Source organism: Homo sapiens, chromosome 6, assembly GCF_000001405.40.
Source record: "Homo sapiens chromosome 6, GRCh38.p14 Primary Assembly".
Taxonomy (NCBI): Eukaryota; Metazoa; Chordata; class Mammalia; order Primates; family Hominidae; genus Homo; species Homo sapiens.
The window spans coordinates 116230016-116249538 of record NC_000006.12 but is presented as its reverse complement, the minus strand read 5'-3'; the positions used below and the strand labels follow the sequence as shown (position 1 = coordinate 116249538).

Here is a 19523-nt window from a genome sequence, read left to right as displayed (position 1 = left end):
ACCAAGAAAATATGAAATAAAATGTCTAGAGACAAATGATATCAGGTATCACAACTTTAATTACCGGTAATGATAGTTTTGCTGTATAGCAGCAATTACATGAAAGTTTATTGGATAAATACCTCTGCATTCTCTGCAGTAAGGAGGGCTTTGTGGATGCTACAAAATCTATGAAAATGAATTGCTAAGTATTTGTAGCCATCTAAGCAAAAATTTGACAAAAATGGCCCAAAATTTCTCATTTGAGTTAGAAACTTAATTAAACATACAGTTAAAATAGATGCTGACTCTTGGTGCAATTATTACTTGCAATTTCTTGCTGAGGTATTTTTTTCTAGGGCTAGAGAACTTTAAGTATTAGAGAGCTAGGTTTTCTTTTGCAAGCTCTACATCCATCTTAATCCTAAATTCCTCTAACAATGTTCATTTTACCTTTTCAGTTCAGTGATTGATTTCTGCATTGTCAGCCACCTGTTTCAAGCTTTATTATACCTTTTCTATGCCTGTTCTGGATGTAATCAGAAAATGTCATTTTTCCTACACTTGGTTTATTATCTGCTTTAGTCTAACCAATAGCATTCACTGTAATAGGCTGGCGCCACTTATTTGTTACAGATTAGCATGGTTTCTGTTCTGTTTAGCCTAATAAAATTAGTCATTAAATTACTCAATTAGGCATCTTACAGGTTTCACTTACCAACCAATTGGTTCACTGCTATAGCCCTGCTCCATTTCTTTGTATTGCTTTTCCTTCCTTAATTCTAGACCCCAATTATTCTTTATGTGGACCTCCAAACCAGTTAAGAAGTTCTCCCATCCTCTGGTCACCTAAGAAGTATCATTTTAGTTTCTCAGGCCATAATCCCTGTGAGTAGTGGTGACACTGCATAATTACCCTGGTCCTCACACAACACTTTCCTTGCGCTTCCATTTCTGGGCATTCAGTGCAAGCCAGACACTTATAAAAGGCTTCTCTGACCTTCTCATCAGGCCCTTCTCCCCATTACTCCTCGTGCTGCTGCTTTATCTCCAGTTAACTCAACGTCCTTAAATGTTTTCATCATTAACAAACAAAAACCAAAACAAACCCTTGCCTATATTTTTAATTACTGAGTCCCTGTCCTAGAGAATCACAATTTAAGACATGGATATTTGATCTTGTTTCAGTTACTTATTCCCTGGCTTCACAATCTCCTCAAAAGATCTGAGATATGTCAGGCACTTCGAAGTGCACATATTACTTTGATAATCCTTGTAACACAAGTTTTATTATTTCCATTTAAATAGTTGAGAAAACAGAGGTCCAGAAAGTAGAACTGCCTAAGATGCAAGTCTCACTGTTGAGTTTTCTGATTTCAAGCTAGCATAACTTCTACTCTATCACAGCTATCGTAATAAATTTGGCATACAAATGTTAACAAAAACCCTACTGACACATGACTATTCAGGCCTCAGTTGAAGGTTATGCTTATTCATGAATAGCCTTTGAGAAGGGTACATTTTATCACTTGATTTAATACAGGACTCCATACAGTTACAGATTGACACATTTGAATTTACTTATGTAACCTTGATGTTTGCTGCACATGAATGAAATTATCAGTTTGTTCCCTTCATCAAAGGCACTGAATATTTAATGTACCAAAAAGACATTAAACGTTATACTCATGGAATTTAGCTGCTAAGCATTGTAAGTAACCGCTGACATTTCTGTTAAGAGAATATTTATTTTTTAAGTGATTAAACTTGGTGATTGCTTTTAACACATTTAGATAGTAATTTATTCCTTTTCTTTATTAAACTTTGTTAAGCTTTATTCAACTTTGATCTTTACCAAGGAAACAACATGACCAAAGTACCAAAAAAAGTAAAATAAACTTGTTTTTTGAAAAGAGTCTGTGAACAGGTACATGGTACAACAAACTGATTGGCAAGCAGTCTATGTACTTTTCCAGTTGTCATTCTAAGTAATGACCCAACTTCTCTATAGGCCCAGATATACTATTTCCCACTAAGCTTACTCAAAGATGAGTTTTCATCACTCCTTCCCCATTTTGGTTACTTCAGCACCAGTGAGGGAAATTTACCAAGCAGTCAAGGTGAACATTAACCCAGAATATGAAGAAAGAGTAGGCCTGCTTACTGATGACCTTGACATGTGTGGCTTCCAAGAGGAACAGACTCATTATATGCTTTAGGACTCCTGATTCTTGGATCTCTATTTTACTTTCCTAGGTAAGTTTTATATTACAGATATTTAATATATTTGGCTAAATTATGAATTACTTAAAGATAGAGGCTGTGTCTTCAATGTTAATCCCTCTCATGTCCTAGCACGACATTATTGCTAAATTGAAGTGTGGTTTTGGGCTGAGAATTTGCCCTAGTCTAGATTCAATATTGGAAGACATTATGTATCAAGTAATTAAAAGTGTGATTTTGAGGATCAAACTTGGGTTCATGTATTGCTCTCTTACTAACAGTGTAACACAGAGCAAGCATTGTATTTAATCTCTCTGAATTTCAATTTTCCCATCTGTACAATTTAATAATTATATACATCTCATATGGTTGCTATAGAGAGTAAACAAGATAATGTACATGAAGTAGCCTAGTGAGGCTACTCATGACCACTGTTTTACTATTATTTCTGAGGATAGTTCTAGAGACCAACAAGAGACACCTTTCTGAATTCATTCTATGTGGACTGGACCATGCCCAGGGATTTTCAAGGGTGGCAATAAGACCATACTGGGTGAATTACTTGGTATGCCCTCATGGCTTTAATAAAAGCAGTCAAGTGTATTCCAGTCTTGCACCAATCTGGAACTAACTCTTATGATAGTCTTCTTGTACTCAAGAGGCTGAAAAGATGTAAGGGACTGTTACTCCAACACTGAAGATTTTAAAAAGCTATCCATGTATTTCCAACAGTCAGTGAAGGTTATTATATCTAGAGAGGCAGTTTGATTTTCCATTTTATGCTGATTTGTTATATAAAATAATTATATAAATTTATTTTCATTCAAACCAGTTCACTAAAAGTGTGTGTGTGTGTGTGTGTGTGTGTATTTAAAGTTATTTTTGGATATGAATATTGGTGGGGAAATAATACTTGATTTCAGTTTAGAGTTTAACAAACTCAGAAGTTGATTTTAGATTGTAATTCATGGTTCAGATAAAGTTTTTACTACCTCAGTATTCCAAATACCAGATTCTGACAAAACATTTGGTCACTGAGTCATTCAGATCTTTCCTCTGCTGATGCGATAAACAGTGGCCAGCAAAGAAAACCTCCGCTCGCTTACATCTATTTTTAGGTGTCCTTTAGATTATGAATGTTTGCCTGTATGCGAATATTACATGTCTTCTGTCCATTTATACAATTTTTTTGCTTCATATAACTTCTTTAATATTTTCTTTTTAATTTTTATGGATTTGGATTATTTTTAATCTTCATATCCATTGGCACTCTTTACAAAGAATGAAAATACAAATTTAAAAAGCCTAATTATAGTCTTTCTAATTACAGAAAAAAAACATTCATTAGAAGAAATACTGACTGCTAGAAAGGAAGGAAATTTAGAAATAAACTAAACTTTTCCTTTCATAAGATGGAAAAAACTGAAGCCAAATTTGGTGGTAACTTGTTCAGGGTCTTTAGGTGGAATGATAAAGGGAATACTAGAACTTCTGACAACTGAATTCTGCCTCCTGAACCCCCGCCACTACTCAAGTGGCCCAAAAAGTGCAGTTATTTCTTATTTTGGACTTCTCATTTTTCATATTAACAGTAGTTCATAAGCATTTAAAGATGTATTATTTGCCATTTACAGAGTAAACATGGATAAGGAAAGATAGCTTTATTTTTAAAAGAAATAAATTCTCTATTTAAAGCATACATGAGATAGTATCTTTCATTTAGTCCTAAGCTTGATTATTTATGCTCATTGTAATATTCCAGTGACATTCTGGACATAAATTTCAAGTATATCACCATATACTTATTGTTAAATATCAAACAAAGCTACTGACTGTGAGGGAAAAATTTCAGTGATTTTTTTTGTTTGTTTTTTTGTTACTTACCCTGAGATACTCATCCCACAGTATATCTGAGATTTAGCTGAACATTTACAAATTTTAACAAATTTTTTTTCTTTCCATTGCATGCATCGATATGCCAAATTCTGCACTTCAATCCAGGTAAAATAATGATAGTGTTTGTAAACCAGATAGTGAAAACCAGTGTGTTTTCTAATACTGCCCATGATAGACAGAGTGAAATCACAGCATAAACAGTAGCCAGGAACCTATACTGCAAACATTTGGCTTCAAGTATCTTGCAACAAATAGCTACTAATATGACCATACACGGCACATAGAACACCACAGTCCTGGATTGTAGCATGCCTGTAAAACCCATTAAAGCATTTTTTTCTCAAACTTTTTGTTCATTATTACCCTCCTTCCCAATTACAGAAATTAAATTCAAATTACATTAAATAGTTTTAACTACAAATTTCTTCCCAATGAGATAAATTAATACTAAGGAATAAGATTTTGTTGGATAGGATGATATTGGAAGTCCACAAGCCATATCTAATATTTTTTCACCCCAAGAACCAATTTTTGTCCCCAATTGAGAATGTAATGCTTAAAGTTGATTAAATAAATTAAATAGCCTTTAACATTATTAGAAAAAAACCTAGTGGGTAACAATGGAGGTTGAGATAGTTGACTTCTAGATCATCTTTTTTCCATACTTGCTGTATGAACAGAGAATAAGTCATGTCTTTTTATTTTCTTGTTTTGGAGAACACAGGAATAGCATAAAACCTCATAGCCTGCAAAAATCACTTAATCTCACTGGACTCAATGTTCTTGACTATTAATTGAAAGAACTGGTATAGATCAGTTGGTTTTCAATTCTGGTTGTACTTTCCTAGGGCATATAAAAGATAACAAAAGATAACAACGCTCAGCCATATTTACCCAGACCAATTAAGCCAAGTCTCTGGAGGATATGTTCTAGCCAGTGGGTCTCAAACTGTACTGTAAATCAGAATCACCTGACGGGCTTGTTAAACCAGATTGGTAGGCCTTACTCTCAGAGCTTCTGATTCAGCAGGTTTTGCGTGGGGCCTGCAAATATGCATTATCAAGTTCTCAGGTAATGCTATGCTATTAGTCTATGGATCACACTTTGAGAACCACTGGACTAGGCATATGTGTAAGAGTGACTGTGCGTGTGAGTGTGTGTCCCCAGGTGAATTCTAATCACAAAACTACTGTATAGAAAATATCAATAAGGTTCTAAGTTTTAGGATACTGAGATTTTAATATAATAAGAGTTGTTAAACATCAAGATGATTTATAGAAAGGAGACCTATGGACAAATATCAACTTATTGGTCAATAAAACTTGTTCCTTAAAGTCTTTTACAGTATTTTTTGAAAATTAACTTTTTTTTAACTGCATATATGGGTCTTCACTTCATTTTTCAGTAAAGACAACTTATTTGGATATCAGTGTCTCATCACTTGATAAGACCAGTGGAGGATTTGGATAGTAGCCAGCTGTTTTTGAATTGCTTGAAGAGAATCTTGTAAATTTGTAGTCCAGAGGTAATTCTGGGGAGGAAAAAAAAATTTAATTATTGCACAGGTCTCTGAATGCCTTTCATAAACAAATCAAAACTTGATATTCACTAATAAAACTTATTTTTTAGACGTAAAATTTTAATATTTCTTTTGCTCCTTCAGTAGGTCTGTGTGTAGCTATTATTATAAGGTTAAAAATGTGTATAAACCAACCACCATTGTAATACATATGGCTAATAAAGACAAACTTTTACAACAGCTATAAAAAAGGCTTCTAGGCATTTAAATGTGAATGAGATAACCATGTCTAACAGAATATCCACAAGTATAGAAACATTACTTGAATATAAAAAGGTTTTAAGAGGCAAAAGGGATGTACCAGGTTATTTTTCACTTCCTATCTCATTTAAAACAATTTAATTTTATTCTTTCTCCCATATTACAGAAAAGGTCTATCAAAGGTCACTTAGGATGAAGAGTTAGATATCTTTCTCTATGCAATTTATAATAATGTTTAAGTCAAATCACATTTAGAGATATCTCAAATCATCCCGAGCTCTATGTGAGTTTAATTTTAATACTCTGCACAGAAGTTAATACAAAAATATGAAAGCTTATCTGAATAAAAATTTAAAAAAAACTCCCAGGCCCTCCTCAGAGGATCATGTAAAACTGGTGAATGAGACCTAATAATCTTCTTCATAGTCACAGGATGAGGGTTACTAAGAATAATCTTCAAATGCTTAGCTAAATAAGAATTTTAATACATACAACATGGCAACTTTCTTCAATTTAAGGAAGAAGAATCGGAAGTTCAAAAAAATTAACTAGACTTCTAACTTCAACTGGAAAATCTGGATAAAATATAAACACGAGACTGAAGTGTCACCAGAGAGCTAAAGAGGCAACCAAGACTTGAGGCACAATTCTTGGGAAGGAGGAACCAGCGGAGAGAGGAGCTAACACTAAGCCTCAGCTTTTCTCCTCTGGTGCTGGAATTCTGGCTGGTGGTAAGGGCTACTACAAGCAGCAGAAAAACCAGTAGAGATTTTGACAGTCTTGCAGGGCTGCAGAGACAAAAATTGAGGGGCTAGGACCACTGTAAAGGAAGGGTCAGAGAACTGGACTCTGCTGGTTGTCTCCTCAAACCCTTTGCCAAATGCTGAAGGAAATTTGCAAACTAAGAATCCAAGCGGAAAGCATATGCCTCTATAAAGGAGAGTGGATGTTTTCTTTTTTAGGCATTTTCTTGGTATTGTGAAAATGGAAAGATTAAATTCTGACCTGAGAGAGGAGAGGGGACTTTGTGAGTATCTTAGACTGGCAGTTATATAGTTCTGAGAACTAGGAGTTTATAATTATGAAGTGATCTCTCTCATGCTAATCATTTTTCCCCTTAATATCTACTTTGTTTCATATTAATGCAGCCACTCTCTCTCTCTCTTTTTTTTTTTTTGGTTACTGTTAGCATGGTATTATTTCGTCCGTCTTTTGATATTTAAACTTTCAAACTTTCTGAATCCTTATGTCTCAGATATATCTCTTATAAACAACTTATAATTGGGTATTGTTATTTTTATTTTTTTATTTTTATTTTGAGACAAGAGTCTTGCTCTGTTGCCCAGGCTGGAGTGCAGTGGCGCAATCTCCGCCTCCCGGGTTCACGCCATTCTCCTACCTCAGCCTCCCACAGGCGCCCGCCACCATACCCGGCTAATTTTTTGTATTTTTTAGTAGAGATGGGGTTTCACCGTGTTAGCCAAGATGGTCTCGATCTCCTGACCTCGTGATCCGCCCGCCTCCGCCTCCCAAAGTGCAAGGATTACAAGGCGTTGAGCTACCGTGCCCTGCCGGGTATTGTTATTTTTTTAAAATTGGCTATTAATTGGAGTATTTGGTCACATACATTTAATGTAATTACTTCAGGTTTAAATTAAACATTTTACTAAATGCTTTCCATTTGTCTTGCTGATTCTTTGTTTTTTTTTTTTTTTGTTTTGTTTTTTTTTTTTTTTTGAGACGGAGTCTTGCTCTGTCACCCAGGCTGGAGTGCAGTGGCGCGATCTCGGCTCACTGCAAGCTCCGCCCCCCGGGTTCATGCCATTCTCCTGCCTCGGCCTCCTGAGTAGCTGGGACTACAGGCGCCCGCCACCACGCCTGGCTAATTTTTTGTATTTTTGGTAGAGACGGGGTTTCACCGTGTTAGCCAGGATGGTCTTGATCTCCTGACCTGGTGATCCTCCCGCCTCGGCCTCCCAAAGTGCTGGGATTACAGGCGTGAGCCACCGCACCCGGCCGTCTTGCTGATTCTTAATATTCTCTCATCTCCTTTGTTTTCTTTTAGATTCTTAAATTATTTTACATATTAGCTTGGTATATGTATATCATCACAATTCTCTTGAGAGTTATTTTTGAGATTACAACATGCATTTCTGACATCAATACTGAACATAGTCTTATCCTTAATTGTTTAATTCTAGCATGTTAGAACATGTTAATTTTTGCTGCCCCACTCTGGCATATATATGCCATTACTGTCAGGCATTTTAATTCTCTATGTAAATCCCATGGGACTTTAATTTTTATTGTTTCAAACAGTAAGCATTCATTTTTTATTCATATACTTACACCATATACTTATATACATTCTTCTTGCATCTCCAGTCTTCTGACATGAATTATTTTTAATTGTACCTGGAGAATAATAATCTTTATTTCCTTTAGTGCAGGTTTCTGGACATACATTTTCTCTATTATTCCCTGTCTAAAAATATTTTACTTTTTTTTTTTTTTTTTTGAGACAGTCTTGCTCTGTTACCCAGGCTGGAGTGCAGTGGTGTGATCTCAGCTCACTGCAACCTCTGCCTCCCAGGTTCAAGCAATTCTCCTGCCTCAACCTCCAGAGTAGCTGGGATTACAGGCACCTGCTACCACACCCGGCTAATTTTTGTACTTTTAGTAGAGACGGGGTTTCACCATGTTGGCCAGACTGGTCTCAAACTCCTGACTTCAGGTGATCCGCCCACCTCGGCCTCCCAAAGTGCTGGGATTACAGGCGTGAGCCACCACATCCGGCCAATATTTTACTTTTATTCTTTACAATGTTTAACTGGGTATATAATTCCATCAAGATTCACATCATTTTCTTTCAGCAATTTAAAGCTATCATTCTATTGTCTTTGACTCTCCTCTGTTTCTGATAAGTCAGATGTCAATCTGTTATTTAATCTATATTTATGCTCTTGATTGCTTTTAATATTTAATTATCTTTGGCATTTAGCAGTTAACTCTGAATTTATTTTTTCTTCATTTTGTTTCATTTCTTTGGGCTTCTTAAACCTTTGGCTTATTTTTTTCCCCATCATTTTCTCTCATCTCACTTATTCTCTCATCTCCTGGGACTCCAATCACAGATGCCCCTCAGTAACTGCAGGGGACCCCTGTGGATACCAAAGCCTGTGCATGCTCAAGTCAGAAAATGGCATAATATTTGCATTAAACCTACATACATCTTCCTGTATACTTTAATTCATCACTAGATTACTTAATATCCAATACAATGTAAATGCTATGTAAATAGTTATTATACTATATTTTTAAAAATTTGTAACATTTTAAATTGTTGTATTGTTTTATTATTTTTTTCCTCTGAATAATTTTTATCCACAATTGGTTGAATCCGAAAATGTGAAACCCAAGAATACAGAAGGAAGATAACATCATTCTAGGACTCAAATTATTTCTAAAAACAATTCACATAAAATTCAGTGCATATCTTACCTGAAATCTTACTCCTTCTCACTATATCTTTTATGTCTCAGCCTCTCTTCTGTATCTTTTATGATTTTTCTCTTACTGCTTCATTCCAAATATGTTCTTTTGACCTAATTTCCAGTGCACTGACTTTTCATCTGTGTCTAATTCGCTGTTAAATCCATCTGTTAAGTTCTTAATTTCATTTTTTAAATATTTAAATTCTACAATCTCCATTCTTTTTATACCACAGTTTATACAATAGTTTTTGTCTCTACCAAATTTCTCATTCCTTCCTTTTCTGTATTTGACTATAATTAACATGGTTATTTCTGTTAGTGTGGTCTCATATCTTTATGTGCCCGGCTATTTTTCATTATGCACTGAATTTTATATGAATTGTTTTTAGAAATAATTTGAGTCCTAGAATGATGTTATCTTCCTCAAAAGAGAATCTATATTTGTTTCTACCAGGTGTGCAGGGGCACTAATAATCTGAAATCTCCTCAATCCAATTTTAGGTATTTAGCTGATTTCAAGCTGAGTTTTAGTCCCTGTGAAAATGGAGATTTCTTCTCAATTCATCCTTATTCTAAAGTAAAGCCCTTCAAGGCCTCAACATAGATTGAGGGAGTTCACCAGACCCACCCTCCTTAGGCAGGCCCTCTCCTCCAGTTCCTATTCCTGTAGATTCATGAAGTTACTGAAAGGCCCACTCACCCTCTGTGGTGCCGCCTCCGGAATCAGCAAATACCCAGGGGGAAAAGCAGCCTCAAATGCCAGGTTCACCTTACTGGGCCTCCTCAGCAGCTTGTCCTGGTAACTCTTTCCCTAATTTTATAATATGCCTCCAAGCTGACTTAAAAAAAAAATTGTTGAGCTTTTGTAGTTGCCTCCCACAGAAGTGCTGGTCCTAATTACCTAGGTTCCATATCTAGAAGATTTTTCCCCAAAGATAAATCAATGTTGTGGCAACATTTCTTTTTCTTAAAGACAAGAATTCTAGTACTGGTCATTATTGTCTAGTAACAGGTGAAGCTTTATAGGTATTTTCCCCCTTACCTGCGATTGCTTCAATACTTGGAATTGCAATAGTGCTGTAAGTACTGATTCTCTTACAAGACCATGTATAAACCAAGGAGTCTTCTGTATTTTCCAGTCCCAAAACTGAATCAATAAAAAAAGAGCCCCATTTTTTAGATGAAGTATTTAAAGGTTTTGCTTTTGGTCCCTGAAACAAGAGAACAGAATAATTAAAATGGTGATTAACTAATGTTCAATCTCATAATTTTTTTGTCTATTAAGTAAATAAAAACTTTGAAACCCTGTAGGAATCTACAAATAGGCTTTGGGCCCACATTAAATTTTTGGAACAGGAATAATATTTCCTCCTTATTATGAAGTATCCTTTATTTTAAACACAAACTAGCTTTTTATATGGTCAATTGGTTATTATCTGAAAACTAGCCCAAACAAAGCAACCTAGAAAACATAATTTTTTCCCTATAATAAAAATAACTCTCTATTCTATTATGATGATGATGATGTCTAAAGGGTAGTTAAAAAACAACTTGGTCTAATTTTCATATTTAGTATTTATTTTTTAGAAAGGAATGAGGATGGAATTATTATTTATTGCTTTCAATACAAATGGAACATGAAGTCAATAAAATTAATACAAAGTTTCAAATTATTAGTCTCTTTTTTTTTTTTTTTTTTTTAACATGATGGTATTCAGCCTGACCAGGACAATTTTGGAGTCAAGTAGTATAAAGATACTTTAGCTTTCAAACATAAATATTTGTCTTTCAAGGAAAGAGCTGCAGGGAACCCTTACCTCATATTTTCCTTTCTTCTCTAGAGGCTCTGACTCCTCAGGCCTCTGACTCCTCGTGCCTTCATCCCCTCTGAGTTCTTCCAGGATGAGGACTGTCTCCCAATTACTATAGTGACGAGCTGGGAAAATATCTGAATGCATGCTGTCACCAAAATAAACAACCTGTAAGACAGATAGCAGATGCTGTTTGAGGCACAGAATTGTGAAAGTGGCATTTATTTCATATAAGGAAGAAGAAAATTTCTCAACAGGCATCAGAGTATGACAATCAAAAATTGCATAAACATCTTCACTTATTTGAATAATCTCACAGGTGACCATCAACTTGTCTCATTTGATTCACAGGGTGCCAGATTTGTCTTAAGAAGTTATACAACACATTCACAGGTGGAAGACAGCATAAGGTGAAATAAGTGATTTTATTCAATTTTCCTAAAGAAGTGAACCTATATGTTTACATAGATGTTTACAATTATTAATAAAATGGCCCCTGCAGTTGAAGAGCTGGTGAGGTATTAGAGACAACTTGTTATAGTGGATTAGAGATTATTAAAAGTGCAAATCACAACCACTTTTCAAGTTTCTGGGCCCAACCCCAGACTGGTTGAAACAGAATCTGTGAGAGTGGGGCTGGGCATGTTGAATCTGGAAAGTTCCCTAGGTAGTCTGAGGCAATGGAGTCTGAGGACTCCATTGATTGAGTCCATACCTCTCAATTTTCAGATGTGAAAACAGAGTTAAGGGATATGAGAATCAGCATCTGCAAGTCAGACTGCTCCATCCATTAACCCTCAGGAGTCCCCAGGAGACTGTGGCATGGTGACAGCCAATGGAGCAGGGCTCTGTTACCCCACGATCTCTCAGCTCACAGAAATTCTGGTAAATATTTTCTTAGAAGAAAGGGTTCTGCTGTTAGAAATGCACCAATGTCCAACATCAACAATGTGATCATTCTGTCAAAAACAAGTGTATCTTTAAGCTAGTCTGTAGCATAATTTCAGTTGTTTGTTTTATATATGGAAACTTTTTGGATAGATTGTTATCAGGATAACATTCCACAGGCATCCTACACACTCATACACCCCCTAAATCTGTGGTGCCCTGCTTGGAATCCTTGCTCCTCTCTATCACAGATAGACAGCCTGTCTACATTGACAAAGGAAAGGCTTATTTAAGCAGAAGAATTAAGAGGAGAGATTTGGCAGTTCACAACTGCTTATGTCTGCAAGTGGGCACTGAGGACTTCTCCTCAACTGGGAAATACCTTGGGTTCAGGTTTGCCAGTCATTTTCTTCAGAAGTTCATAGAGGTGGACAGCGTTCCCTTGGGAGTACCAGCCAGGTTTATCCAGAGATGGCAGTGCCTCCTGCTCCTCATCATTCTCTGAAAATACAGTTTGACAATCATATACTTTTTAATCAAGTGAGAGTAGCCAGTTGGGCAGACCACACTTAGGGCATGGCTACAGGACATGTACAAACAAGAACCTTGTGGGGAAAGGAGCTGACATTCAGTGGTACCTACATATTATAAGGCCCTTATAGGTATATACTTTTTAATCCCGTGGCCTTCTTAATTGGGGAAAATAAGGTTCAAGGAAGTTATTTTGCCCAGGATCTCAATGCTGGTAAGTGATTTATTCAGTGATTAGACAGACATCTGCTTGACATCATGCCTCTGCTTGACATCATGCCCCTACTGCTACAAAACGGTTTACCAAATAAATAACACAATGAAAGTCATTAGGTGTTAATTTTTTAGAATTGAGGGTGAGGAAGGTAAGTTTTTAATTAGTAGTCTATCAGATTCAGATGTAAATTTTGCACCCTTGGTGCCTCAAATGCTTTACCCTAGTACCAGCTTGGGGTGGGTGGGGAATGAAAGGACTATCTGATGCCAAAGCACAAGTTTGTGGACCATTCCAAGTTGTCCTCTCCCAGCACATTACCTTCCTACTCCTGTTAAAGCAGGGCTAGTGAAAGAGGTAAATGTCTTTGCCTCTCTGAATTTTGCCGGCTATTCTATTACTTGTACGTGAGCTGAAAAGCTGAAGAGAATCTGCCTACCAGCATGATGATTAAGGAAGATTGAGTAAGGTTTTATGAAATACATGATATATCTATCAGCAGAGACTTTGGTAGCTGTTGATACAGCTTTGCAAATTGTATGGAGAAAAATAACCTCTTTTTTCTCACATCAACTGTATGATTTCTGATTTTAAAAAGGTTTATTCCCCCCACTTTTTTGGTCCTCTTTGCTGTGCCACTAAGAAGAATCTTATGAGATACAATCCTATGCTGGATACAGAGGTTGTGTATACAGAAGCTTATATAATTAGAAGGGTCCTCTTTAAGAGAACAAATACAGAATTAATACAAAATTACCATAGTCCCTGCTAGGATTTGGAAGAGATAAATGAGGGGGTCTTAAAGCTTAAGCTTCATTGGCTTTATTGTAAATCAACCCTGGAGTAGGACAGGCAGAAAACAAAGGGTTTAGAAAGGAGGCAAAGATGGTTATGCCAGTCATTAAAAATACATCTCTGGCAATGTTAGTACCTTTAACTAAGATCTAATTTTCCCTAAAGATACTATATGTAAAAGTCACAGACAACAACATTAAATCTCTGCTTAGTTTATAACAAAAAACATCTTGAATCTGGTACTAGAGAATTTAAGATTTACAAATTAAAGTTTGATCATTATAACTGAAATGAAATATAATTTATTCATTCTACTACAAAAATGAGTCAAATAATGTCACAATAATAAAGTGCATTTCTGCATAACCTCAGATATTTTAAACAAAATTCTAAAACTACATTTATAGATAATTACAGCCAAATCACAGCAGCTAGCAGCTTATGTTCAATAAATATTTATGCCTATCTAGCTGCCATTTCAGCAGTCATTTAAAAATTCTTCTGCAAAATCAAATGAAAATCCCACTATTCTTTAAAGAAAGAATAGATAGGAAGCCAAAATCATGTACTAGCCTAACATTAAAAGGGTCTAAGAAGATTCAGCATATTCCTGGAGAAACACAGTAAAAAGTGATCACTTCTCATGTCTGTTTATTTACTGAAATGTCTTACTACGCAAATAATGTGAATTTGATGGCAATTGGAAATGAATAATTTACAGAAATACTTCTGAAAAGACTCACAGTTGATATGTAGATATCTACTTTGCAAGGATAACGGGAAGAGAATCTTTCTACTACTTATGAAAAATTTAAAAAAATCCATAGTATTATAACTTCTTAAATGTTGAGACTCAGTAATCTAATAGGAAGCAAAAAAAAAAAAAAAAAACCCAAATCAAGTCAAAACAAAAAATTCACTTTATACAAACATTACCTCCCCTCCCTGTTTCCAGCCCCTATACTGGAGGCTGCCTTAAGGAATAATTAATTTACAAGGGCAGCTGAGGCTGCGGGTTTTGGCAGAGCCTCCACAGCTAGGAAGCTGCAAGACTCAGAGAATTATTAATTCCTGCAGTAGAGAGCCTGTTCGGACTGTGAAAGCCGCAGAACTGAGGTGGAAGCTGTACAGTACAGAGGAACAAACTCAGGAAAGTTTCAAGCACAGTGTTTATAAACCCAAATAAACACTTTTTACATTATTTAGATAGTACACTGTACTTCTTTGTAAGGTCAATCAAAAATAGTTACCTAAATCTCTATTTTTACATAATATTTAAAAATGTAGGCTGGGTGTGGTGGCTCACACCTGTAATCCCAACACTTTGGGAGTCTGAGGCAGGCAGACTGCTTGAGTCCAGGAGTTCAAGACCAGCCTGGTCAGCATGGTGAAACCACAGTCTCTTCAAAAACTACACAAATTCACTGGGTATGGGGTTGCACACCTGTAGTCCCAGCTACTTGAGAGGCTGAGGTGGGAGGATAGCTTCAGCCCGGAGAAAGAGGTTTCAGTGAGCCGAGATCATGTCACCACACTCCCCACTGGGTGACAGAAGTAGACCCTGTCTAAAAACAAACAACCCCCACCCCAACCCAAAAAACAGTGTCCTGCAAAGAGTACAATGAGGATATTCATTTTAAAAAGTATAATTAAAAATATGTTAGAAGGGCCAGGCATGGTGGCTCACACCTGTAATCCCAGCACTTTGGGAGGCTGAGGCAGGTGGATCACGAGGTCAGGAGTTCAAGACCAGCCTGGCCAGAATGGTGAAACCCTGTGCCTACCAAAAATACAAAAAATTAGCCGGGCATGGTGGTGCGTGCCTGTAGTCCCAGCTACTCGGGAGGCTGAAGCAGGAGAATTGCTTGAACCCAGGAGGTGGCGATTGCAGACTGGACTTCAGCCTGGATGACAGAATGAGATTCCGTCTCAAAAAAAAAAAAAAAAAACAGTTATAAGATATAGAAAGATAAACGTTAGAAGATATAGAAAAAAATAAAGAAGACAAAGGGGATAGATGGTGATGATAATTTGCTTCCACAGTTTTAAAATGGGGATAATAACAATGCTTACCTCACAGAGTGGTTGTGTAAATAAATTAATACAGATAAAAATGGAGCACATGGAAAAGTGTCTGCCACAAAGTAAGTGTTTAAGAAGTCTTAGCTATAATCCCTTCAATTTACAGGTGAATAAACTGATATCTGAAAAAGTTAAGGAATCTGCCCAAAGTCACTGAAATGTTATAGTAAGAGCCAGGACAAGAATGCACTTTGCCTCCTTATTCCAAAGGATTTCAAATTGGGGCTAGAAGACAAAGTAAGATGATACTCCCAGAGAGCATTTCCGAATTTGGATTCCTGGACCTGAATGTGTCCCATGGTATTGCCACAAACAGGAAACAACTAAAGCACAGAATAAACCTTTATCTGGCATCCCTGAGGACACCCGCAAACGAACAATTCTCACTTAGGATGGAGCCTCAGCCAACCTCCTATGGCATCTTTATATAAGGCTCAAATTTAGTGCTGTTACAATCTTCCATATATATTGAAAACAGGTCAGCAATGAATGAAGAAAAGAAGGAGGGCTTTAGAATGCCCTTTGAACTGAATTTTATAGTTTATTATTTTCACAATGTCCCTCAAATTCACTGATAAAAAACTTTATTTGATAAAACAGCAAACCTGTATTACTTTCCTAAAATTCCACTGTCCCAGCTTTAATTAAAGCAATCTTAACAGTTAGGTAAAATGTATTAATTGAAAACATTTTTCTATAAAAATATATTATTAGGACAATTTTCTATACCAAAGTTCTACAAGATATACAAATTATTCCTCAAACCCTTTAACTTAATCACTAATAGATGTTTGGGTTATAAAATAACTACAAAGGAGAAAACTCATAGGAGAACAAAGCTCAAATCTTTTCTTTTAGCCTACAAACTACCAAAAAACTGACCTAATGAAGTTAAGAAACAAATGAAGGTTGGATAAAGAGATGGAGGAGCCATCAATTTAGGCAAATAAATAAAACTAAAGCTGTCTTGGAAACTGTAATTTATTCCTAAATATAGCTATGTCTTACTACAATGAAGTAAATCTTTTTATTTTCTTATTGTAAGAACATATGGACAAGACGAGTTTAAAAAACAGTAAAGTTTTTGACAGTATAATAGTTACAAAGTAGATATGGGACAATGATACAGTCAAGGCTAGACTGACAGCCTTGAATAAAGCTAAGCAAAACTTACCACAGAGAGCAGAATCTGTGAGAAGTTTTGTAGGCCAGAAGCACTAACCTCAACTCACAGAGACTGCTGCCTCCCCTAAACTCCCCAAGTGCTTGGTGTCACTACTTTATTAATGTTTAAAAATATGCATTTATGAGATTTTTTTCTGAATCAGTAATATATTTACATGTTTTTTAAGTCTTATTTTTGAACTCTATCTGGTATGCACTCACCTCTTCTCCTCTTTTATGCATATAAAAGCAAATACGAATATGAGTATATTCTTTTCCTCCATGTTTTTACACATTTGTTGAGACATAATCAACATACAATAAATGGAATATATTTAAAGCATACAATTTGATGAGTTTCAGCATATGTATATACTTGTTATGGCCTGAATTATGTTTCTCCCCAAATCATAAGTTAAAATAATAACCCCTAGTATATCAGAATGTGACTATTTAGAGATGGAGCCTTTAAAGGCTGGATTAAATTAAAATGAGACTCTCAGGGTGGACCTAATCCAATAGTCTCCTTTTAAGAAGATGAGATTAGGACACAGATAGACACAGAGGAAAGACTATGTGAAGACACAGGCAGAAAACAACCATCTACAAACCAAGAAGAGAGAGGCCTTAGAAGAAACCAATCCTGCTACAACCTGGTTTCAGACTTCACAGCCTGCAGAACTGCAAAGAAATAAAATACATCGTTCAAGCTATCTAGTTTGTGGTATTTTGTTACGGCAGCCCTAGCAAACTAATATAATACTAATAATTTTAAAACGCTTTTAAATGCTATTATTAGAATAATCTGCATGAGGCTCTGCAACTTGCTATTTTTAAACTATTTTATAGCTAGCACAGTGTAATCTACCTCCTTTTAAAATATGTGCATTTCATTCTATTTTACACATGTTCTATTATTTATTTATTAATAATAGTCCTCTATAGATAGACATGTGGGTTGTTGCCAATGTTTTTCTGTTACAAGTAAAAAGTTACAAACATGAGAGGATCTGCACAGCCTGGTGGAGTCAAACAGAATCTGAGCTAGAAATACAATTCATTTTCTTTCTCGTCTCATTCTTCATTTTTACTATATTTCACAGACTGTTTTAGTCAGTAGGGATATAGCAGTGAATGAGATGGCTCAAGTCTCTGCCCTAAACATCTCTTCCCTAAGGATGCTTATATTCTGGTGGCAATCTCTGACTTGTTAGAGGTTACTAAATAATGAATTATGATTAAAAATATATTTACAATTTTTATTTCTAGGATTCCTTTCTGTATATATGTAAATTTGACCAAACAGTTCATATTTACTTTTATAAATCCCTTCCTCAATTCTGGGCTAGACTTTTTTTTCTCCAGTTGTTCATTTTCATACATACTTTCTCTGTTTCTTGGCATGGACAGGTAAGACATTTTTCAAGTAAAATGTCTAGTAAAATGCTTGTGTTGAGGGCTATAACAGGACAATTATACTATTAAAGAAAAAGTGTGATTCTTACTCTTATCTACTTTGGTTTGGGGGGGGGATTTACCATTCATTCATAGTTCTTTTTTTTTTTTTTTTTTTTGAGACGGAGTTTCGCTCTTATTGCCCAGGCTGGAGTGCAATGGCGCTATCTCGGCTCACTGCAACCTCTGCCTCCTGGGTTCAAGCGATTTTCCTGCCTCAGCCTCTGAGTAGCTGGAATTACAGGCACCTGCCACCACGCCCAGCTAATTTTTTGTACTTTTAGTGGAGATGGGGTTGACTAGTTCGCTGATGGATTCAGCCTCCTTCATTCGGGGAGCTGTTAATGTTGTTGGAATTGTGCTAAAGACAGAAAGATTCCTGCAGACAGCTGCACCCCTCAGCACTAACATCCGCTGACAAAGTTCAGCAGACAATTTCCCAACTGTAGCCAAGTGAAAGCACTAAACAATACAGAGAAGGAAACAGCTCTGACTGGAGCTGCAGAAGGAAGGTATCGCAAAGGAGGTGTGATTTGTATGTCTGACCTTAAATAAGAGGTAGGAAGTCACCAGAGAGGAAAGGGAGAAGGCATTCTACATATATCTATGCCACTCAAAGTGTGATCTTCCAACCAGTAGCATCTGCTTCACCAGACAAGTTATTTAGAAATGCAGAATCTAAGGTTTCACCAGGGCCTCTGAATCAGAATCTCCATTTTAACAAGATCTCTAGGTGATTCACGTGTACATGAAAGTCTGAGAAACACTGATGTTGACAGAATAGCGAGAACAAAAACTTGATATAAGAATAAAAGGCAATCATTTCAGTAGGAGTAAAGGGTACTTTTATGGAGATAGAGTTAAGGAAGATGGAAAGGTAATTTAGGAACAAGACTGTACAATTAGCCTTAGGATGCTATATGGAATGGAAGCCAATGAGATATTGTGTGCATGTGATTAAATATATTTGTGCCTAAGTAAATAATAAAAAAAGATGTGGGAAATTTTAAAGAACTCAAAAATAGAAGTCTGTGCTAATGAAAAGTGAAGAGAGGTTGGGGAGGGGTTAGATGGCCTAGTGGAAAGGGAGAGGAGGACAAAGATGAGAGATTTCCCAGGTATATTAAGCAGGATTTAATGCATAGCACACTGGAGGTAAAAGGGTGAAGACAACGGAGGTTATTAGCTGGAGAATTCTAATGGATGGTTA

The 19523-nt window shown here is 36.1% G+C and overlaps 1 protein-coding gene across 2 annotated transcripts in view; it reads right to left on the bottom strand.

Annotated features, from left to right (window-relative positions):
* NT5DC1 (5'-nucleotidase domain containing 1) overlaps positions 42-19523 on the bottom strand; it is a 148645-nt gene continuing 129163 nt past the window's right edge. Inside the window, exons 9-12 of one of the 2 annotated variants that reach the window (NM_152729.3) lie at positions 12455-12573; positions 11191-11352; positions 10416-10584; positions 42-5630 (exon numbers count right to left, since the gene is read on the bottom strand). In NM_152729.3, coding sequence (NP_689942.2) covers positions 5515-5630; positions 10416-10584; positions 11191-11352; positions 12455-12573 — 566 coding nt within the window. In that variant the 3' untranslated portion in view covers positions 42-5514. Of the gene's footprint in view, positions 5631-10415; positions 10585-11190; positions 11353-11389; positions 12081-12454; positions 12574-19523 lie in introns of those variants that run through there. The other variant, XM_006715378.4, reaches the window with a different exon arrangement.